Source organism: Homo sapiens, chromosome 19 (assembly GCF_000001405.40).
Source record: "Homo sapiens chromosome 19, GRCh38.p14 Primary Assembly".
Taxonomy (NCBI): Eukaryota; Metazoa; Chordata; class Mammalia; order Primates; family Hominidae; genus Homo; species Homo sapiens.
The window spans coordinates 53,689,636-53,712,483 of record NC_000019.10 but is presented as its reverse complement, the minus strand read 5'-3'; the positions used below and the strand labels follow the sequence as shown (position 1 = coordinate 53,712,483).

Below are 22,848 nucleotides of genomic sequence, written 5' to 3'. Positions count from 1 at the left end.
CTGGGCAATAGAAAGCCTGTCTTGGAAAAATTTCAAATCACAAACAGAACCCCGACATCATGCAAGTCTGATGATAAGCACGCTCTGCAAATGTATTACCAAGATCAGCAGCATCTTCAACGTTGCTTGTCTCAAACAGTAACACTCTAAAGGGATGCACGATCTTTTCTTTTATACAACAGACAGTGCTTCCATCTAGAGGGTCACTGCCTGAGATCTTCTTTTTTTTGACACGGAGTCTCACTCTGCCGCCCAGGCTGGATGCGGTGGTGGGATCTCGGCTCATGGCAACTTCTGCCTCCTGGGTTCAAGCGATTCTTCTGCGTCAGCCTCCTGAGTAGCTGGGATTAGAGGCACCCACCACCATGCATATTGCATATATGACTGCATATATGACCTGGTCATGCACCCAAGATGTTGGTTTCATTTCCCCAGTGAAAACTCAAACCCCATGCACTCCACCTCCGTGCTCTTGCTGAGCACATCCCATCTGCAAGGGACACTGAGGTCCCCCTTTGACTCTACCTGACCCCACATGAGGCTTTATAAATCAGTGCCAGAATAATTTCCATGGACTAAAAGGTGTTAATGGCCATGTGTGGTGGCTCACGCCTGTAATCTTAGCACTTTGGGAGGCTGAGGTGGGCAGATCACCTGAGGTCAGGAGTTCGCAACCAGCCTGGCCAACATGGTGAAACCCCGCCTCTGCTGAAAATATAAAAATTAGGCCAGGCGTGGTGGCTCATGCCTGTAATCCCAGCACTTTGGGAGGCAGAGGCCGGTGGCTAACTTGAGGTCAGGGGTTTGAGACCAGCCTGGCAAACATGGTGAAATCCCATCTCTACTAAAAAAAAAACAAAAAACAAAAAACAAAAAGTAGCCAGGTGTGGTGGTGGGCTCCCGTAATTCTAGCTACTCAGGAGGCTGAGGTAGAAGAATTGCTTGAATCCGGGAGGCAGAGGTTGCACTGAGCAGAGATCACGCCTCGGCCCTCCAGCCTGGGTAACAGTGAGACTCCATCTCAAAAACATAAATAAATGAATTTTAAAAAATGAAAATATTATCCAGGTGTGGTGATGGGCACCTGTAATCTCACCTACTTGGGAAGCTGAGGCAGGAGACTCGCTTGAACCTGGGAGGTGGAGGTTGCAGTGAGCCGAGATCACACCACTGCACTTCAGCCTGGGTGATAGAGAGACTCTGTCCGCTAAAAAAACCATTTGAATCCAAAAGACCTAGGTTGGATGTGCCACCGCACTCCAGCCTGGGCAACAGAGATCCTGTCTTAGAATAAAAAAGCAAAACCAAAACAGAACCCCGCCATCGTCCAAGCCTCATGATAAGCATGCTCTACAAATGTATTACCGAGATAAGCATCAACTTCAACGCTGCTTTTCTCAAACCGTAACACTCCAAAGGGAAGCGCCTTCTTTTCCTTTGGACAAGAGAAAGTGCTTCCCTTTGTAGGGTCACAGCATGAGATCTTCTTGCTCCAGAACTCTGGGTTTTTTGTTGGAATTTTCCTTGCCCAGGTTAAAATGGACACAAAAATGAGGATGCATTTATTGGCCCTGTTTGCATGTTTTCTGGAATCCAGAACATAAACCCCTAAAATGACCATCTCCAGTTCCTTGCTACAAAGAATAAGCAGGTTAGCCTTATCCCTAATCCCAGCACTTTGGGAGGCCGAGGTGGGCGGATCACCTTAGTTCAGGAGTTCAAGGCCAGCCTGCCCAATATGGTGAAACCCTGTCTCTACTAAACGTACAAAAAAATTAGCTGGGGTGGTGGTGTGTGCCTGAAAATCCCAGTTACCCGGGAGTTGGGGAAGGAGAATCACTGGAACCCGGGAGACAGAGGCTACAGTAAGCCGAGATTGCGCCACTGTACTGCAGCCTGGGCGACAGAGCAAGACTGTTTCAAAAAAAATAAATAAATAAAAATAAAAAAAATTTAGTGTCAGGGACAAGGAGATTCAACTAAAAAGATACAAATAAATAGAAAAAATAAGAACATTGTATTAATATTGACATCCATTGGGATTACAGAATAGACTGGATAGATGTGGAGGCCTATATTTTTTGTTTTGTTTTGTTTTGAGATGGAGCCTCGCTCTGTCGCCCAGGCTGGAGTGCACCTGCGCGATCTTGGCTCACTGCAACCTCCGCCTCCTGGGTTGAAGAGATTCTGCTGCCTCAGCCTCCTGAGTAGCTGGGATTACAAGCACGCACCACCACGCCCACTTAATCTTTGTATTTTTAGTAGAGACGGGGTTTCACCATATTGGTCAGGCTGGTCTCGAACTCCTGACCTCCTGATCCGCCTGCTTCAGTCTCCCAAAGTGCTTGGATTACACACCTGGCCCTTACTCTCCTAATGAAGGAAACATGGTTTGGATTGATTAAACTAAACTGATGAAAGGCCTGTATTTGAAGTGACCAACCCAAATGGAGCCTCAGGAACCAGATGGCATGTAATCTGCGTTTTTAAAGAGATGGGATCTTGCTATGTGGCCCAGGCCGGAGTGCAGTGGCTATTCAAAGGTGTGATCAGTGCATGGTATAGCCTTAAAATCAAAGGACCCTCCCACCCTAGCCTTTGCAGTAACTGGGACCCTGTGTGTCCCAGGATGCCTGGCCGTGTCACCTATCTTTGAAATGGGACAAGGTGGCTCACACATTTAGGATCACTTAAGCTCAGCTGAGACCATCCCAGGCAAAAGAGACCCCATCTCTACCAAAAATTAAAACCTGAGCCCAACTACTTGCGAGGCTGACAAGAAGACCACTTGAGGCTGGACGTGGTGGCTCACGCCTGTAATCCCAGCACTTTGGGAGGCCAGGGAGGTGGATCACTTAAGGTCAGGAGTCGAGACCAGCCTGGCCAACATGGCGAAACCCTTTCTTGTCTAAAAATACAAAAATTGGCAGGGTGTGTTGGTGGGTGCTTGTAATACCAGCTATTTGCGAGGCTAAGGTGAAAGAATCACTGGAACTCCACGGTGAGTGGAGATCCTGCCACTGCACTCCAGCCTGGGCGACAGAGGTGGGAGTTACAGTGAGTGGAGATCCTGCCACTGCATTCCAGCCTGGGCGACAGAGCCAGTCTCCATCTCAAAATAAAATAAAATAAATAAAATAAAACAAAATAAAATAACAGGCTGGGCACGGAGGCTCACACCTGTAATCCCAGCACTTTGGGAGGCCGAGGCGGGTGGATCATGAGGTCAGGAGTTTGAGACCATCCTGGCCAACGTGGTGAAACCCGGTCTCTACTAAAAATACAAAAATTAGCTCGGCATGGCGGTGCGTGCCTGTAATCCCAGCTACTCAGGAGGCTGAGGCAGGAGAATCGCTTGAACCACGGAGTCGGAGGTTGCAGTGAGCTGAGATTCCGCCACTGGACTCCAACCTGGTGACAGAGCGAGACTCCGTCTCACACACACACAAAAATAAGAATTAATAATAATAATAGAGCAAGACATGACCCCAAGAGATCTAGTTTGGAGTGCAACCCCTCCCTCTCCAGCCTGGGCAACAGAGACTGGTCTTGGAAAAAAATAAAACCAAAACAGAACCCTGCCGTCATCCAAGCCTGATAAGCATGCTCTGCGAATGTATTACCAAGATCAGCATCAACTTCAACGTTGCTTTTCTCAAACCGTAACACTCTAAAGAGAAGCGCTTTGTTTTCTTTCAGACAACAGAAAGTGCTTCCCTCCAGAGAGTCACAGCATGAGATCTTCTCGCTCCAGCCATCTGGGATTTTTGTTGAAATTTTCCTTGACCAGGTTAAGATGGACACAAATATAAAGATGCATTTATTCGCTGTTTGACCGTTTTCTGGAATCCAGAACATAAACCTCTAAAAGGACAATCTCCAGGCTCAGCAGATTAGCCTTGTTCATCAAGGGGAATCCTCCTAAGTTTTGTCTCCAAGGAGAAAAAGCAATGCCCACTACACATACCTTACCTTTAACCAAGAGAATTGAGGTGGATTTCTAGAGAACAGCAATGGATTGAGTCACATGGTCACTTGAGTTCCAGCACAGGGACACACAGTCATGATGGGAGCATCCAAAATGGAATCTAAATTTGCCAGGCGTGGTGGTGCCCACCTGTAATCCCAGCTACTCAGGAGGCTGAGGCAGGAGAATTGCTTGAACCCGGGAGGCGGAGGTTGCAGTGAGACGAGATCGTGCCAATGCACTCCAGCCTGGGTGACAGGAAAGAAAAAAAGAATATGCATTGTCTTACACACAAACATTCTCCAGGATAGAGCACTGCCTAGGCCGTAAAAGCTCCTCAATAACATTTGTACAGAAGTACGGGTGGAGTGCAGTGGCTTACACCTCTAATCCCAGCACTTTAGGAGTCGAAGGCGGGAAAATTACATGAGCTCGAGTTCAAAACTAGCCTGCCCAACATAGTAAAACCTCATCTGTAAAAATACAAAAGATAGCCAGGTGTAGTGGTTCATGCCTGTAGACACTAATTCAGGAGGCTGAGGTGGGAGGTAGAGGCTGCAGTGAGTTGAGGTCACAACACTGCACTCCAGCCTGGGCAATAGAGCCAGATGGTGTCTCAAAAAAAATTAAAAAAAAAAAAAATACACAAACAAAAACAACCCCAAAGTGATATAAGAGTATTCTCTGTGTGCAGAAGACTATTTTGTGTGAATATAATTATACATAGAAGATTATATGATAACATGTATATATTTTGGAGACCCTGTCTCAAAAAAACAAAGTTCCATGTACTATATGCTCACATAAAGAATAATTCCTACATACTAGTGCTTGGGCAGCAAGAACGAAACTCCATCTCAAAAAAAAAAAAAAGAAAAAATCAAAACAAAAACAGAAGCCCACCATCATCCATCTCTGATGATAAGCATGCTCTGAAAATGTATTACCAAGATCAGCATCAACTTCAATGTTGCTTTTCTCAAACGGTAACCCTCTAAAAGGAAGCACTTTCTTTTCTTTCAGACAACAGAAAGTGCTTCCCTCTAGAGGACGACAGCCTGAGATCTTCTTGCTCTGGCACTGTGGATTTTTTGTGGGAATCTTCCTTGACCAGGTTAAAATGGACGCAAAAATAAAGATGCATTTATTTGCCCTGTTTGCATGTTTTCTGGAATCCAGAGCATAAATCCCTAAAAGGACCATCTGCAGTTCTTTGCTTCAAAGAATCAGCAGGTTAGCCTTGTTCATCAACGGGCAATCCTCCTGAGTTTTGTTCCCAAAGAGAAAAGGCAATGCCTACTACACATACCTTATCTTTAACCAAGAGAATTGGGCTGGATTTCTAGAGAATAGCAATGGATTTTGAGCCAAGTGGTCGCTTGAGTTCCAGTACAGGAGCGCACAGTCCTCATGGGGGCATCCGAAATGGAATCTAAGATGTTGAAGAATATACACTGTTGTAGGCACAAACATCCTGCAGGGTAGACAACAGGCTACCCTGTAAACGCTCCTCAATAAAATCTGAGCAGAAACAGACGAGTATAGGTGGGGCACAACAGCTCACACCACTAATCCTAGCACTTTAGGAGGCCAAGGTGGAAGATCACCTGAGCTAAGGAGTTCGAGACCAACCTGGGCAACATGGGGAAACCACATCTGTACAAAAAAACCAAAAGTTAGCCAGGTGTGGTGGTGTATGCCTGCAGACAGCTATTCAGGAGGCTGAGCTGGGAGTTGGAGGTTGCAGTGAGCCGAGATCGCACCACTGCACTCCAGCCTGGGCGACAGAGTGAGACTCTGTCTCTAAAATGAATAAGTTAAAAAATAAATACATAACAATAATACAAAAATTAGCTGGGCGTGGTGGCATATGCCTGTAATCCCAGCTGCTCGGGAGGCTGAGGCAGGAGAATCATTTGAACCTGGGAGGCAGAGGTTGCAGTGAGCAAAGTTCCTGATACTGAGCTCCAGCCAGGGTCACAGAGCAAGACTCTGTCCCAAAAAAGAGGGCCACTTGAACCCAAGAGATCTAGGTTGGAGGGGCCACCATACTCCAGCCTGGGCAACAGACACCCTGTCTTAGGAAAAAAAACCAAAAAAACCCCACAAAACCCCAACATCATCCAAGTCTGATTATAAGCATGATCTCCAAGATCAGCATTAACTTCAATGTTGTTTTTCTCAAAGAGTAATCCTCTAAAAGGAAGCGCTTTCTCTTCTTTCAAGCAACAGAAAGTGCTTCCCTCTAGAGGGTCACAGCCTGAGCTCTTCTTGCTCCAGCACTGTGGGTTTTTTGTTGGAATTTTCCTTCACCAGGTTAAAATGGACACAAAAATGAGGATGCATTTATTGGCCCTGTTTGCATGTTTTCTGGAATCCAGAACATAAAACCCTAAAAGGACCATCTCCAGTTCCTTGCTTCAAAGTCTCAGCAGGTTAGCCTAGATCATCGAGGGACAATCCTCCTGAGTTCTGTCTCCAGAAAAAGCATTGCCTACTACACATACCTTACATTTAACCAAGAGAATTGGGCTGGATTTCTAGAGAACAGCAATGGATTTTGAGCCAAGCGTTCACTTGAGTTCCAGCACAGGGACACACAGTCCCGATGGGAGCATTCAAAACTGAATCTCCCATGTTGAAAAATATACATTGTTGGCCGGGCGCAGTGGCTTATGCCTGTAATCCCACCACTTTGGGTGGCTGAGGCGGGCGGCTCACATGAAGTCAGGGGTTTCAGACCAGCCTGGCCAACATGGTGAAAAAAAAAATACAAAAGTAACCGGGCGTGGTGACGGGTGCCTGTGATTCCAGCTACTCAGGAGGTTGAGGCAGAAGACTTGCTTGAACCTGAGAGGCAAAGGTTTGAGTGAGCCGAGGTCCTGCCACTGCCCTCTGGCCTGAGTGACAGTGAGACTCCATCTCAAAACAAATAAATACATGAATAAATAACATGCAAATATTAGCCAGGCATGGTGTCAGGCACCTATAATCCCAGCTACTCAGGAATGTGAGGCAGGAGAACTGCCTAAAACTGGGAGGTGGAGGTTGCAGTGAGCTGAGATCACGTCACTACACTCCAGCATGGGTCACAGAGCAAGACTGTCCGAAAAAAGAGGACCATTTGAGCCCAAGACACCTAGGTTGGAAGTGCCAACACACTCCAGCCTGGGCAAGAGACCCTATCTTAGAAAAACAACAACAACAAAACAGGACCCCACCATCCTCCATGTCTGATGGAAGCACGCTCTGCGAAGTTATTACCAAGATCAGCATAACTTGTTGGGAGGCCAAGGTGGGCGAGTCACCTGAGGTCAGGAGTTCCAGACCAGCCTCGCCAACAAGGTAAAATCCCAGCTCTAAAAATACAAAAAAAATTTTGCCAAGCGTGGTGACACGTGTCTGCAATTGTACCTACTTGGGAGTCAGAAGTTGCAGGAGCAGAGACTGGGCCGCTGCACTCCACCCTGAGGGACAGAGTGAGATACTGACTCAAAAAAAAAAAAAAAAAAAAATTGCTTGAACCCAGGAGGCAGAGGTTGCAGTGAGCCGAGATCACATTATTGCACTCCAGCTTGAGTGACAGAGTGACACTGCCTCACAAAGTCAAAGACAGAACAAAAGAACCCTCCTTGCCCTCTTCTTGCCTGTGCATAGATTAAAATATTCACCTGTAGTCCCAGATACTAGGAAGAGGAGAGGGAGAGAGCACATTCTACCCTGGGCGGCATAGCGAGACCTCCGTTTCTAAAATACAAAAATTAAATCAATTGTACATTGATGACGTGCTCATGTGCCCTACATTTCAGCTTCATTTACCCAATAGAAACTCAAAGCCCACGCACTCCACCTTTGTGCTCTTGCTACGTAGTGAACATCCCACCTGCAAGGGACACTGAGGTTCCCTTCAGCTCTACCTCAACCCAAGTCAAGGGAGGTTCTGTAAACCAGTGCAGGCATAACTTCCACGGAGTAAAAGGTGTTGAGGGCTGGACGAACAGGCATCGCTCACTACGGCAACAACGAGAGCTGCGGCGCATCCCACCTGTTACTAGAGAGGCCCTTCTAGGGTCCTCAAGGTTTTTGTGAAAAGTATCTGTGGTTTTGTCCCATGTGACAATTATCACTGCCACTGAGACTCATCTTGTCTACCATAGTTTGTTTCTCATATTAGCCACAGCCAACATTTCACAGCTTACCAAGCAACTAGCCTTTAAATGCGAGGTACCTTGGGTTCATTACCCGAAGAAAATAGCATAATCAGGGAAGCTGCAGTCAAAGAACTCACCGGGGCTGGCGTGAGTGGGTGGCGGTTGAATCAACTACACCCTTCCTGCAGAGAAAGCAGCTCTATTCCGAGAAACGACGGCAAGTTGTTGGAGAGAAAAAAATTTCAGTGTCAAGGACAAGAAGATTAAACTAAAAAGACACAAACAGGAAAAACAAGAAAATTTTGTTAATATGGACATCCATTTGAGATTACAAATTAAGATTGGATAGACTTGAAGGCTTACTTACCTTTTTTTTAAGTCCAGCTCAGTCGCCCAGGTTGGAGTGCAATGGTGCAATCTCAGCTCACTGCAACCTCAGCCTCCTAGGTTCACGCCACCACACCCGGCTAATTTTTGTATTTTTAGTAGTGATAGGGTTTCACCATATTGGCCAGGCTGGTCTTGAACTCCTGACCTCAGGCGATCCGCCTGCCTTTGCCTCCCACAGTGCTGGGATTACAGGCATGAGGCACCATGCCCCGGCTACTTACTCTCTTAATGAAGGAAATGATTTCGATTGATTACACTAAATTGATGGGAGACCCATTTCAAATAACCAACCCAAATGGAGCCTCTGTAACCAGGTGCCATGTAATCTGTTTTTAAAGAGATGGGATCTTGCTATGTTGGCCCAGGCTGGAGCGCAGTGGCTATTCGAAGGTGTGATCAGTGCATGGTACAGTCTGGAAATCAAAGGTCCCTCCGACCCTGGCCTCTGCAGTGGCTGGGACTGTGTGCCCCACAATGCCTGGCCATGTCAACTCTCTTTGAAATGGGTCATCAAGACGAGGTGGCTCACACGTGTAGGACCACATAAGCTGTGGAGATGAGACTATCCTGGGAAAAAGAGACCCCAATTGTACCAAAAATTAAAAACTTAGCCAAGTATGGTGGCACGCCCCACGTAGTCCCAACTACTTGAGAGGCTGACTCAAGAGGACCACTTGAGGCTGGGCGCGGTGGCTCACGCCTGTAATCTCAGCACTTTGGGAGGCCAGGGAGGAGGATTACTTAAGGGCAAGAGTTGAGATGAGCCTGGCCAATATGGTGAAACCCTTTCTTGTCTAAAAATACAAAAAGCAGGGCATGGCGGTGGGTGCTTATAATTCCAGCTACTCGGGAGGCTGAGGTGGGAGAATGTCTGGAACCTGGGAGGCTGTAGTTGTGGAGATCCTGCCACTGTACTCCAGCCTGGGTGACAGAGTGAGACTCCATCTCAAACAATTAAAAAAATGAAATAAAAAGAAGACCATCTGAGCCCAAGAGATCTAGGTAGAAGTGCCACCGCACTCCAGTCTGGGCAACGGAGACCCTGTCTTAGAAAAAAACAAAACCAAAACAGAACCCCACCATCGTCCACGTCTGATGATAAGCACGCTCTGCAAATGTATTACCAAGATCAGCATCAACTTCAACGCTGCTTTACTCAAACCGTAAACCTCTAAAGGGGAGCGCTTTGTTTTCTTTCAGACAACAGAAAGCGCTTCCCTCTGGAGGGCCACAGCATGACATATTCTTGCTCCAACACTGGTTTTTTGATGTTGCTGTTGGAATTTTCCTTGACCAGGTTAAAATGGACACAAAATAAAGATGCATTTATTTGCCCTGTTTGCATGTTTTCTGGAATCCAGAACATAAACCCCTAAAAGGACCATCTCCAGTTCCTTGCTTCAAAGGCTCAGCAGGTTAGCCTTGTTCATCAAGGCGCAATCCTCCTGAGTTTTGTCCCCAAAGAGAAAAAGCAATGCCTGCTACATATACCTTATCTTTAACCAAGAGAATTAGGCAGGATTTCTAGAGAACAGCAATGGATTTTTGAGCCAAGCGTTCACCTGAGTTCCAACATAGGGACACACAGTCCCGATGGGAGCATCCAAAATGGAATCTAAATTAGCCAGGCGCCCACCTGTAATCCTAGCTACTCAGCAGGCTGAGACAGGAGGATCGCTGGAACCCAGGAGGCGGAGGTTTCAGTGAACCGAGATCATGCCATTGCACTCCAGCCTGGGTGACAGAGTGAGACTCCGTCTCCAAAAAATAAAAATAAAAAAAAAGAATATACATTGTCATACACACAAACATTCTCCAGGATAGACTACTGTCTAGGCCGTAAAAGCTCCTCAATAAAATTTGAACAGAAATACACAAGTACAGGTGGGGTGCAGTGGCTCACACCTGTAATCCCAGCACTTTAGGAGTCGGAGGCAGGAGGATTACTTGAGCTCAGGAGTTCAAGACTAGCCTGGGCAACATGGTGAAACCTCATGTGTCCAAAAATACAAAGGTTACCAGGTGTTGTGGTTCATGCCTGCAGATGCTAACTCAGGAGGCTCAGCTGGGAGGTAGAGGTTGCTGTGAGCCGAGGTCACAACACTGCACTCCAACCTAGGTAATAGCGCCAGACTGTGTCTCAAAAAATATTTAAAAAATACACAAACAGAAACAACCCCAAAGTGATATAAGAGTATTCTCTGTGTTGGCCGGGCACAGTGGCTCACGTCTGTAATCCCAGCACTTTGGAAGGCCGACGTGGGTGGATCATGAGGTCAGTAGTTGGAGACCAGCCTGGCCAACATGGTGAACCCCATCTCTATTAAAAATACAAAAATTAGCCAGTGTGGTGGCTCATGCCTGTAATCCCAGCTGCTCTGGAAGCTGGGTCATAAGAATGACTTGAACCTGGGAGGCAAAGCATGCAATGAGTGGTGTTCATGCCACTGTACTCCGGACTGGGTCACAGTGTGAGATTATCCCAAAAAACAGGACCACTTGAGCCCAAGAGATCTAGGTTAAAAGTGCCACTGCACTCCAGCCTGGGCAATAGACACTCTGTCTCAGAAAAAAAAAAACAAAAAAACAGAACCCCACCATCATCCAACTCTGATGATAAGCATGCTCTGCAAATGTATTATTGCCAAGATCAGCATCCACCTAAACGTTGCTTTTCTTAAACGGTAACCCTCTAAAAGGAAGCACTTTCTTTTCTTTCAGACAACAGAAAGCGCTTCCCTGTAGAGGGACACAGCCTGACATCTTCTTGCTGTGGCACCGTGGATTTTTTGTTGGAATCTTCCTTAACCAGGTTAAAATGGACTCGAAAAGAAAGATGCATTTATTTGCCCTGTTTTCTATTTGTGTGTTTTCTGGAATCCAGAATATAAACCCCTAAAAGGACAATCTCCAGTTCCTTCCTTCAAAGAATCAGCAGGTTAGCCTTGTTTATCAAGGGGCAATCCTCCTGAGTTTTGTCTGCAAGAGAAAGAGCAATACCTGCTAGACATACCTTATCTTTAACCAAGGGAACTGGGCTGGATTTCTAGAGAACAGCAATGGACGGAGAGCCAAGTGTTCACCTGAGTTTCAGTACAGGGACACACAGTCCCCATGCAAGCATCCAAAATGGAACATAACATACTGAAGAATATACATTGTCATAGACACAAACATTCTCCAGAGAGACCACAGGCTATACCATAAAAGCTCCCCAATAAAATTTGAGCAGAAACACACAAGTACAGGTGGGGCACGGTGGCTCATACCTCTAATCACAGCACTTTAGGAGGCCGAGGTGGGAGGATCACTTGAGTTCAGGAGTTCAAGACCAGCCCAGGCAACATGGAGAAACCATGTCTGTACAAAAAATACAAAAGTTAGCCAGGTGTGGTGGTGCATGCCTGTAGACAGCTATTCAGGAGGCTGAGGTGGGAGTTGGAGGTTGCAGTGAGCCGAGATTGCACCACTGCACTCCAGCCTGGGCGAAAGAGTAAGACTCTGTCTCAAAAATAAATAAAGGAAATTACAAAAATTAGCCGGGCATGGTAGCACATGCCTGTAATCCCAGTTGCTTGGGAGGCTGAGGCAGGAGAATCGCTTTTACCCAGGAGGCAGAGGTTGTAGTGAGCAGAGATCCTGACACTGCACTCCAGCCAGGGCCACAGAGCAAGACTCTGACCCAAAAAAGAGGGCCACTTGAACCCAAGAGATCTAGGTTGGAGAGGGACCACCACACTCCAGCCTGGGCAACAGACACCCTGTATTAAAAACAAAACAAAACAAACATGAAACACCAACATCATCCACGTCTGATTATAAGCATTCTCTGCAAATTTATTACCAAGATAAGCATCAACTTCAACGTTGCTTTTCTCAAAGAGTAATCCTCTAAAGAGAAGCGCTTTCTTTTCTTTTAGACAAGAGAAAGTGCTTCCCTCTAGAGGGTCACAGCATGAGATCTTCTTGCTCCAACACTCTGGGTTTTTTGTTGGAATTTTCCTTCACCCGGTTAAAATGGACACAAAAACAAAGATGCATTTATTGGCCCTGTTTGCATGTTTTCTGGAATCCAGAATATAAACCCCTAAAAGGACCATCTCCAGTTCCTTGCTTCAAAGGATCAGCAGGTTAGCTTTGTTCATCAAAGAGCAATCCTCCTGAGTTTTGTTCTCAAAGAGCAAAAGCAATGCCTCATAGACATATGTACCTTATATTTAACCAAGAGAACTGGGCTGGATTTCTAGAGAAGAGAAATGGATATTGAGCCAGGTGTTCACCAGAGTTCCAGCACAGGGACACACAGTCCCGATGGGAGCATCCAAAATGGAATCTACGATGTTAAAGAATATACATTGTTGTACACACAAACATCCTCCAGGGTAGATCACAGGCTAGGCCCTAAAAACTCCTCAATAAAATTTGAACAGAAACACACAACTACAAGTGGGGCACGGTGGCTCACACCTCTAATCCCAGCACATTAGGAGGCTGAAACTGAAGTATCACCTGAGCTCAGGTGTTCGAGACCAGTCTCGGCAACATGGTGTAAGCCCATGTGTATAAAAAATACAAAACGGAGCCAGGTGTGGTGGTGCATGCCTGTAGACACTAATTCAGCAGGCTTAGGTGGGAGGTAGAAGTCGCAGTGAGCTGAGAGAGATGGCACAACTGCACTCTAGACTGGGTGACAGAGCCAGACCTTATCCAAAAACAAATAAAACATACACTCACACACACACAAACAAACAAAAAAAACCCCAAAGTGATATAAGAGTATTCTCTTCATGTAGAAGAGTATTTTGCACGTATATGGTATTATATATATAAGAATATATAATGGCCGGGCGGGGTGGCTAATGCCTGCAATCCCAGCACTTTCGGAGGCCAAGGCGGGAAGATCACCAGAGGTCGGGAGTTCGAGACCAGCCTGACCAACATGGTGAAACCCTGTCTCTACTAAAAATACAAAAAATTAGCCAGGCGTGTGGTGCATGCCTGAAATCCTAGTTAGTCGGGTGGCTGAGGCAGGAGAATCACTTGAAACTGGGAGGCGGAGGTTGAAATAAGCGAAGATCGCACCACTGCACTCCAGCCTGGTGACAGAGTAAGACTCCATCTCAAAAAAAAAAAAAAAAAAAAGAAAAGAAAAAAGAAAGAAAAATGCAAGTATTAGCCAGGCGTGGTGTCAGGTACCTATAATCCCAGATACTCAGGAATCTGAGGCAGGAGAACGGCTTGAAACTGGGAGGTGGAGGTGGCAGTAAGCTGAGATCACGCCACTGCACTCCAGCCTGGGTCACAGAGTAAGACTCTATCCCAAAAGAGAGGACCATTTGAGCCCAAGAGAGCTAGGTTGGAAGTGCCACCACATTCCAGCCTGGGCAACAGAGATCCTGTCTTAGAAAAAAAAAAAAAACAGAACCCCACCTTCATCCAAGTCTGATGATAAGCATGCTCTGCAAATGTATTAGCAAGATCAGCATCAACTTCAATGCTGCTTTTCTCAAAGGGTAACCCTCTATAGGGAAGCGCGTTCTTTTCTTTCAGACAACAGAAAGCGCTTCCCTCTAGAGGGTCACAGCATGAGATCTTCTTGCTCCAGCACCCTGGGTTTTTTGTAGCAATTTTCCTTGACCAGGTTAAAATGAACACAAAAATAAAGATGCATTTACTGGCCCTGTTTGCATGTTTTCTGGAATCCAGAATATAAACCCCTGAAAGGACCATCTCCAGTTCCTTGTTTCAAAGGCTCAGCAGGTTAGCCTTGTTCATCAAGGGGCAATCCTCCTGAGTTTTGTCTCCAAAGAGAAAAAGCAATGACTACTAGACATACCTTATATTTCACCAATAGAATTTGGCTGGATTTCTAGAGAACAGCAATGGATTTTGAGCCAAGCGTTCACTTGAGTTCCAGCACAGGGACACGCAGTCCTCACAGGAACATCCAAAATGAAATCTAAGATGTTGAACAGGCCTGGCGTGGTGGCTCACGCCTGTAATCCCAATGCTTTGGGAGGCTGAGGCAGGTGGATCACCTGAGATCAGGAGTTCAAGACCAGCCTGACTAACATGGTGAAACCCCATCTCCACCAAATACAAAAACTGAGCCGGGTGAGGTGGCGCATGTCTGTAATCCTAACTACTCAGGAGGCTGAGGCAGGAGAATCACTTGAACCCAGGAGGGGGAAGTTGCAGTGAGCCGAGATTGCGCCATTGCACTCCAGCCTGGGTGACAGAGTGAGACTCTGATTTAAAACAAAAAACAAAACAGAAACCCACCATCATCCAAGTCTTAATTATAAGCATGCTCTGCAAATATATTACCAAGATCAGCATCAACTTCAACGTTGCTTTACCCAAACCGTAACGCTCTAAAGGGAAGCGCCTTCTTTTTTTTCACATAAGAGAAAGTGCATCCCTCTGGAGAGTCACAGCTTGAGATCTTCTTGCTCCAGCACCGTGGGTTTTTGGTTGAAATCTTCCTTCACTGGGTTAAAATGGACACAAAAATAAAGATGCATTTATTGGCCCTGTTTCCATGTTTTCTGGAATCCAGAACATAAACCCCTAAAACGACCATCTCCAGTTCCTTGCTTCAAAGGCTCAGCAGGTTAGCCTTGTTCATCAAGGGGCAATCCTCCTGAGTTTCGCCTCCAGAAAGAAAAAGCAGTGCCTACTACACATACCTTATATTTAACCAAGAGAATTGGGCTGGATTTCTAGAGAACAGCAATCAATTTTAAACCAAGTATTCACTTGAGTTCCAGGACAGGGACACTACAGGACAGACCACAGGCGAGGCCTTAAAAGCTCCTCAGTAAAATTTGAACAGCGGGAGGATCACTTGATCGCAGGAGTTAAGAGTCCAGCCTGTGGAACGTGCTGAAACCTCATCAGTACCAAAAATACAGAACTTACCCAGGGGTGGTGGTGCCTGCCTGTAGACACTAATCCAGGAGGCTGAGGTGGCAGGTGGAGGTTGCAGTGAGCCAAGATCTCACCACTGCCCTCCAGCCTCAGCGACATAGCCAGGCCCTGTCTCATAAAAATTAAAACAAAATACACAAACAAAAACAACTCCAAAGTGATATAAGAGTGTTCTCTGTGTATAGAAGACTATTTTGTGTGTATGGAATTATACACAGAACATTGTGATGAAATATACTCATTTTTTTTTGAGACCCTGTATAAAAAAAAACCAAAGTTCCATATACTATATGCTCACATAAAGCATAATTCCCACATATTGGTGCTTTGACAGCACACACAAATGAATGGGGTGACAGAGATTTCCATAGCCCCCGCACATAGGTGACACCCAAATTCATAATGGGTCCCATATTCAAAATTAGGAAAAAAGGCTGAGTGCAGTGGCTCATACCTGTAATCCCAGCACTTCGGGAGGCCTACGTCGGCAAATCACCTGAGGTCAGGATTCAAGAATGGCCTGGCTAACATGGTGAAACTGTGTCTAAAATACATATATATATATAGCTGGTATGGGGGTACATGTCTGCAATCCCAGCTACTTGGAAGGCTGAGGTTGCAGTGAGCTGAGATCACACCACTGCAGTCCAGCCTGGGAGACACAGAGAGGCTCTTTCTCCAAAAAAAAAAAAAAGAGAATTGCTTGAGTCCAGGAGGCAGAGGTTGCAGTGAGCCAAGATCACACTAATGTACTCCATCTCGGGTGACAGAGCAAGACTGTCTCAAATAGTCAAAGACAGAAAAAAAGAACAGGTCTCGCTCTCTTCTTGATTGTGTATGGGCTCACTTAAGGTCAGGAGTTGGAGACTGGGCTGGCCAACATGTTGAAACCCTGTCTCTACAAAAAAAAAAAAAACGAACAAACAAAAAAAACACAAAAATTAGCCGGGCGTGGTGGTGTGCGCCTGTGATCCCAGCTACTCGGGAGGATGAGGCAGGAGAATTGCTTGAACGTGGGATTGTGCCACTGACCTCCAGCCTGATGGACGGAGTAAGACTCTGTTTCAAAAATCGATGAGTAAATAAATAAATAATAAAAATACAAAAATTAGCTGGGTATGGTGGCTCATGTCTGCGATCTCAGCTACTAGGGAGGCTGACTCAGGAGAGAATGGCTTGAATCTGGGAGGTGGAGGGTACAGGGAGCGAAGTTCCTGCCACTGCACTCCAGCCTGGGTCACAGAGCAAGACTCCATCTCAAAAAAGAGGACCGCTGGGCACAATGGCCCACGCCTGTAATCCCAGCACTTTGGGAGGCTGAGGTGGGTGGATCTTGAGGTCAGTAGTTTGAGACCAGCCTGGCCAACGTGGTGAAACCCTGTCTCTACTAAAAATACAAAAATTAGCTGGAAGTGGTGGCAGGCACCTGTAGTCCCAGCTACTTGGGAGGCTGGGGCAGAAGAATTGCTTGAACTCAGGAGGTGAGCTTGCACACAAGATCGCGCCATTGCACTCTCGTCTGGGTCACAGAGCAAGACTCCGCCTCAAAAAAAAAAAAAAAAAAAAGAGGACCGTTTGAGCCTAAAAGATCTACGTTGGAAGTGCTACCCTACTCCAGCCTGGGCAAGAGAGACTCTGTCTTAGAAAAAAAAACAAAATAAAAACAGAATCCCACCATCATCCAAGTCTGATGATAAGCATGCTCTGCAAATGTATTACCAAGATCAGCATCAACTTCACTGTTGCTTTCCTCAAACAGTAAACCTCTAAAAGGATGCACTTTCTTTTCTTTCAGACAACAGAAAGCGCTTCCCTCTAGAGGGTCACAGCATGGGATCTTCTTGCTCCAGCACCCTGGGTTTTTTGTAGAAATTTTCCTTGACCAGGTTAAAATAGAGACAAAAATAAAGACCTATTTATTGGCTCTGTTTGCATGTTTTCTGGAATCCAGAACATAGACCCCTAAAAAGACCATCTCCCGTTCCTTCCTACAAAGGCTCAGCAGGTTAGCCTTGTTCATCAAGGGGAAATCCTCCTGAGTTTTGTGTCCAGAAAGAAAAAGCAATGCCTACTATGCATACCTTATATTTAACCAAGAGAATTGGGCTGGATTTCTAGAGAACAGCAGTGGATTTTCAGCCAAGTGTTCACTTGATTTCCAGCACAGGGACACACAGTCCTGATTAGAGCAGTCAAAATGGAATCTACCATGTTGAAGAATATACATTGTTGCACACACAAACATCCTCCAGGATAGACTACAAGGGAGGCCTTAAAAGCTCCTAAAGAAACCCTGTCTCTACTAAAAATACAAAATTAGCCAGGCATGGTGGCGCAGTCCTATAATCCCAGCTACTTGGGAGGCTGAGGCAGAAGAATCACTTGAACCCGGGAGGCGGAGGTTGTGGTGAGCCAAGATTGTGCCACTGCACTTCAGCCTGGGCAACAGAGACCCAGTCTTAGATAAAAAAACAAAAGAAAAACAAAACCCCAACATCATCCAAGTCTGATTATAAGCGTGCTCTGCAAAGATATTACAAAGATCAGCATCAACTACAACGTTGCTTTTCTCAGACAGTAAGCCTCTAAAAGGAAGCACTTTCTCTTCTTTCAGACAACAGAAAGTGCTTCCCTCAAGAGGGTCACAGCCTGACATCTTCTTGCTCTGATGCCGTGGATTTTTTCCTGGAATTTTCTTTGACCAAGTTAAAATAGACACAAAAATAAAGATGCATTTATTGACCCTGTATGCATGTTTTATGGAATCCAGAATATAAAACTCTATAAGGACCATCTCCAGTTCCTTGCTTCAAAGAATCAGCAGGTTAGCCTTGTTCATCAAGGGGCAATCCTCCTGAGTTTTGTCCCCAAAGAGAAAAAGCAATGCCTACTACACGTACCTTTAACCGAGAAAATTGGGCAGGATTTCTGGAGAACAGCAATGGATTTTAAGCCAAGTGTTCACTCGAGTTCCAGTACAGGACCCACAGTCACGAAGGGAGCATCCAAAATGGAGTCTACGATGTTGAAGAATATACACTGTCATATGCACAAACACTCTCCAGAGTAGATCACAGGCTAGGATGTAAAAACTACTCAATAAAATTTGAGCAGAAATACACAAGTACAAGTGGGGCCCAGTGGCTCAGACCTCTAACTCCTCGAACTTTAGGAGGCCCAGGCAGGAGGATCACCTGCCTCAGGAGCTCGAGACCAGCCCCGGCAACATGGCGAGACCCCATGTGTACAAAAATTACAGAAGTTAGCCAGGTGTGGTGGTGCATGCCTGTAGAGACTAATTCAGCAGGCTTAGGTGGGAGGTGGAGGTTGCAGTAAGCCGAGATTGCACCACCACACTCCATCTTGGGTGACAGAGGCAGATATTGTCTCAGAAAAGAACCACACACACACGCACACACACGCACACGCACACACACCCTAGGTGATATCGGAGTATTCTCTGTGTTTAGAAGAGTATTTTGTGTGTACATAATATATAAGAATATAAAATGAAATATACATCATGTATTTTTGAGACCCTGTCTCAAAGAAAGTTCCAAATATTGCATGCTTATAGGAAGAATAATTCCTATACATAACTGCTTGCTTTGGAAGTACACATAAAAAAATTTAAATGACATAGAATATCCTGGCCACTGCACAAAGGCGACACCCAAGTCCATGCTGGTCCCATATTCACCTAATTATTTTTATTTTTATTTATTTATTTATTTAGAGACAGAGTCTCACACTGTTGCCCAGGCAGGAGTGTAACGGTGTGATCTCTGCTCGCTGTAACCTCCGCCTCCCAGATTCATGTGATTCTCCTGCCTCAGCCTCCCGAGTAGCTGGGATTACAGGTGAGTGCCACCACACCCGGCTAATTTTTGTATTTTTAGTAGAGACGGGGTTTCACCATGCTGGCCAGACTGGTCTCGAACAACTGACCTCAGGTGATCCTCCTGTCTCAGCCTCCCAAAGTGCTAGAATTACTGGTGGAAGTCACCATACCCAGACTAGTCCCATATTTAAAATTAGGAAAAAGCAAAAGATGCCCACACCTCAACAGCAATGTTCGAGTACATCTCAAATACATTGCACATCCCATCTGCAAGGGACGCTGAGGTCCCCTTCAATTCTACGTGAACCCACGTGAGGTTCTATAAACCAGTGCCCGAATAATTTCTACGTAGGAAAAGTTGTTGATAGCCGGGCGTGTTGGCTCACACCTGTATTCACAGCACTTTGTGAGGCTGAGGCAGGTGGACCAACTGAGGTCAGGAGTTCCAGACCAACCTGGCCAACATGGCAAAACCCTGTCTCTATTAAAAATACAAAAATTAGCCGGGCGTGGTGGTGCACGGTTGTAGTCCTAGCGACACGTGAGGCTGAGGCAAGAGAATCGCTTGAACCCGGGAGGCAGTGGTTGCAGTGAGCTGAGATCACACCATTGCACTCCAGCCTGGGTGACAGAGCGAGACTCTGTCTCAAAAAAAAATAATAATAATAAAATAAATAAATAAATAAATAAATAAATAAAAGGTGTTGAGGACTGGAAGAACATGCATCGCTCACTATGGCAACAAGAAGAGCTGCTGTGCATTCCACCTGTTACGAGGGAGCCCCTTCTAGGGTCCTCAAGATTTTTGTGAAAACAACTGGTTTTGTTGCATGCTACATTTATCACTGTGACTGAGATTCATCTTGTCTACAACAGTTTCTTATATTAGCCACAGCTAATATAAGACACATTTGACATCTTAGCAAGTAACTGGCATTTAGATGCAAGGTTTAAGCCCATTGGAATGGTACCTTGGAATCGTTACCCAAAGAAAATAGGATAAACATGGCAGCTACAGTCAAAGAACTCACTGGGGTTGGCATTAGTGGGTGAGGGTTGAATCAACTACACCCTTCCTGCAGAGAAAGCAGGTCTATTCCGAGAAATGATGGCAAGATGTTGGGGAAAAACAAATTTCAGTGTTACGGACAAGCAGATTACACTAAAAAGACACGAGTGAACAGGAACAAAAAGAAATTGTATCAATACGGACACCCACTGGGGATTACAGAATAGACTGGATGGACTTGGAGGATTACCCACTCTCTTAATGAAGGAACCATGGTTTGGATTGATTATACTAAATTGATGGGAGGCCATTGTATGACATGACCAACCCAAATGAAATCTGTGGGACCAGGTGCTATGTAATCTGTTTTTAAAGAAATGGGATCTTGCTATGTTGGCCCAGGCTGGAGTGCAGTGGCTATTCAAAGGTGGGATCTGTGCACGGTATAGCCTTAAAATCAAAGCACCCTCCCGCCCCGGCCCCTGCAGTAACTGGGACTGTGTGCCCCATGATGCCTGGCCAAGTCAACTATCTTTGAAATGGGTCATCAGGACAAGGTGGCTCACACCTGTAGGATCGCTTGAGCTCAGGAGTTGAGACCGTCCTGAGCAACAGAGACCCCATCTCTACCAAAAATTAAAAGCTGAACCAAGTGTTGTGTCACGCCCCATGTAATCCCAACTACTTGGGAGGCTGACTCAGGAAGACCACTTGAGGCCGGACACAGTGGCTCACGCCTGTAATACCAGCACTTTGGGAAGCCAGGGAGGCAAATCACTTGAAGTCAGGAGTTGAGAACAGCCCAGCAAACATGGTGTAACCCCATCTCTGCTAAAAATACAAAAATTAGCATGACATGGTGGTGGGCGCCTGTAATCCCAGCTACATGGGAGGCTGAGGTGGCAGAACTGCTGGAACCTGGGAGATGGAGGTTGCAGTGAGTGGAGATTGTCCTACTGCACTCCAGCCTGGGTCACAGAGCCAGATTCCATCTCTAAATGAATGAATGAATAAATAAATAAATAAATAAATAAATAAATAAATAAATAAATAGAGGGTCTCTTGGGCCCAGGAGAGCTAGGTTGGAACTGCCACTGCACTCCAGCCTGGGCAACAGAGACCCTGTCTTGGAGAAAAACAAAATCAGAACCCCAACATCATCCGAGTCTGATGATGAGCGTGCTCTGCAAATGTATTACCAAGATCAGCATCAACTTCAACGCTGCTTTACTCAAACCGAAACAGTCCAAAGGGAAGCACTTTCTTTTCTCTCAGACAACAGAAAGTACTTCCCTCTGGAGGGTCACAGCCTGAGATCTTCTTGCTCCAGCACTCTGGGTTTATTGTTGGAATTTTCCTTGACCAGGTTTAAATGGACACAAAAATAAAGATGCATTTTTCCTGGCCCTGTTTGCATGTTTTCTGGAATCCAGAATATAAACCCCCTAAAAGGACCATCTCCAGTTCCTTCTTTCAAAGGCTCAGCAGGTTAGCCTTGTTCATCAAGGGGCAATCCTCCTGAGTTTTGCCCCCAAAGAGAAAAAGCAATGCCTACTACTCATACCTTATCTTTAACCAAGAGAATCGAACTGAATTTCTAGAGAACAGCAATGGATTTTGAGCCAAGTGTTCACTTGAGTTCCAGTATAGGCACATGTAGTACCCATGGGGGCATCCAAAATGGAATCTAAGATGTTGAAGAATGTACATTGTCGCACACACAAACATCCTCCAGGAGAGACCACAGGCTACGCTGTAAAAGCTCCTCAATAAAAAAATACACAAGTACCTGTTGGGTGCGGTGGCTCACATCTCTAACCCCAGCACTTCAGGACGCCGAAGTGAGAGGATCACTTGAGCTCAAGAGTTCCAGACAAGCCTGGGCAACATGGTGAAGCTTCATCTGTACAAAAAATACAAAAGTGAGCCAGGTGTGGTGGTGCATACCTGTAGACACTAATTCAGGAGGCTGCGGTGGCAGGTGGAGGTTGCAGTGAGCCAACATTGCACCACTGCACTCCAGCCTCGGTGATATAGTCAGGCTGTGTCTTGTAAAAACTAGAAACACATACACACACACACACACACACACACACACACACAAAGACACACACTCAAAGTGATAGTCTCCTGCCTCACCCTCCGGAGTAGCTGAGACTACAGGCGTGCGCCACCAGCCCTGGCTAATTTTTTGTATTTTTAGCAGAGACATGGTTTCACCATGTTGGCCAGTCTGGTCTCGCCCTCCTGATCTCAGGTTATCCACCCGCCTCGGCCTCCCAAACTGCTGGGATTACAGGCGTGATCCACCGCACCTGGCCATACATCATATATTTTTGAGACCCTGTCTCAAAAGAAAGAAAGTTCCATATACTGTATGCTCACAGAAAGAATAATTCCTACACATAAGTCCTTGCTTTGGCAGCTCACACCCCCGTCTCTAAAATACAAAACCTAAATCAAGTGTGCGTTGATAACGTGGTCATACACCCTGTATTTCAGCTTCATTTACCCAATAAAAACTCAAAGCCCATGCACTCCACCTCTGTGCTCTTGCGAA

At 45.8% G+C, this 22,848-nt stretch overlaps 2 long non-coding RNA genes and 13 other non-coding genes across 17 annotated transcripts in view; all 15 read right to left on the bottom strand.

Moving 5' to 3' along the window:
* Window positions 1–129: 129 nt before the first annotated feature.
* Window positions 130–216, bottom strand: MIR517A (microRNA 517a). Its single transcript, NR_030201.1, has one exon. It is a non-coding gene; the product is annotated as a microRNA 517a (primary transcript).
* A 1,179-nt stretch (window positions 217–1,395) lies between these two features.
* Window positions 1,396–1,482, bottom strand: MIR524 (microRNA 524). The gene has a single exon (NR_030200.1). It is a non-coding gene; the product is annotated as a microRNA 524 (primary transcript).
* Window positions 1,483–3,648: 2,166 nt separating this feature from the next.
* Window positions 3,649–3,749, bottom strand: MIR518C (microRNA 518c). The gene has a single exon (NR_030199.1). It is a non-coding gene; the product is annotated as a microRNA 518c (primary transcript).
* A 425-nt stretch (window positions 3,750–4,174) lies between these two features.
* Window positions 4,175–11,814, bottom strand: LOC107985346 (uncharacterized). Of its 3 annotated transcripts, XR_001753998.1 has the most exons (5): window positions 11,778–11,814; window positions 8,256–8,386; window positions 7,639–7,714; window positions 5,277–5,399; window positions 4,175–4,215 (listed from the first exon to the last, which is right to left on the bottom strand). It is a non-coding gene; the product is annotated as an uncharacterized LOC107985346 (long non-coding RNA). The 3 variants fall into 3 exon arrangements; XR_001753997.1 differs by lacking the exon at window positions 11,778–11,814 and having other exon boundaries at window positions 8,256–8,526; XR_001753999.1 differs by lacking the exons at window positions 7,639–7,714; window positions 11,778–11,814 and having other exon boundaries at window positions 8,256–8,526.
* On the bottom strand, window positions 4,945–5,031 carry MIR520C (microRNA 520c). Its single transcript, NR_030198.1, has one exon. It is a non-coding gene; the product is annotated as a microRNA 520c (primary transcript).
* MIR526A1 (microRNA 526a-1) lies at window positions 6,148–6,232 on the bottom strand. Its single transcript, NR_030197.1, has one exon. It is a non-coding gene; the product is annotated as a microRNA 526a-1 (primary transcript).
* On the bottom strand, window positions 9,665–9,747 carry MIR518B (microRNA 518b). Its single transcript, NR_030196.1, has one exon. It is a non-coding gene; the product is annotated as a microRNA 518b (primary transcript).
* MIR520B (microRNA 520b) lies at window positions 11,197–11,257 on the bottom strand. Its single transcript, NR_030195.1, has one exon. It is a non-coding gene; the product is annotated as a microRNA 520b (primary transcript).
* Window positions 11,815–12,382: 568 nt separating the features above from the next.
* On the bottom strand, window positions 12,383–12,469 carry MIR518F (microRNA 518f). Its single transcript, NR_030194.1, has one exon. It is a non-coding gene; the product is annotated as a microRNA 518f (primary transcript).
* A 1,543-nt stretch (window positions 12,470–14,012) lies between these two features.
* Window positions 14,013–14,099, bottom strand: MIR523 (microRNA 523). The gene has a single exon (NR_030193.1). It is a non-coding gene; the product is annotated as a microRNA 523 (primary transcript).
* Window positions 14,100–14,866: 767 nt separating this feature from the next.
* On the bottom strand, window positions 14,867–14,951 carry MIR525 (microRNA 525). The gene has a single exon (NR_030192.1). It is a non-coding gene; the product is annotated as a microRNA 525 (primary transcript).
* A 2,239-nt stretch (window positions 14,952–17,190) lies between these two features.
* MIR519B (microRNA 519b) lies at window positions 17,191–17,271 on the bottom strand. Its single transcript, NR_030191.1, has one exon. It is a non-coding gene; the product is annotated as a microRNA 519b (primary transcript).
* Window positions 17,272–17,861: 590 nt separating this feature from the next.
* LOC107985342 (uncharacterized) overlaps window positions 17,862–22,848 on the bottom strand; it is a 46,575-nt gene continuing 41,588 nt past the window's right edge. Inside the window, exon 3 of the long non-coding RNA XR_007067332.1 lies at window positions 17,862–18,455. This is a non-coding gene — a long non-coding RNA (uncharacterized LOC107985342). The remainder of the gene's footprint in view (window positions 18,456–22,848) is intronic.
* Window positions 18,009–18,091, bottom strand: MIR526B (microRNA 526b). The gene has a single exon (NR_030190.1). It is a non-coding gene; the product is annotated as a microRNA 526b (primary transcript).
* MIR520A (microRNA 520a) lies at window positions 21,519–21,603 on the bottom strand. Its single transcript, NR_030189.1, has one exon. It is a non-coding gene; the product is annotated as a microRNA 520a (primary transcript).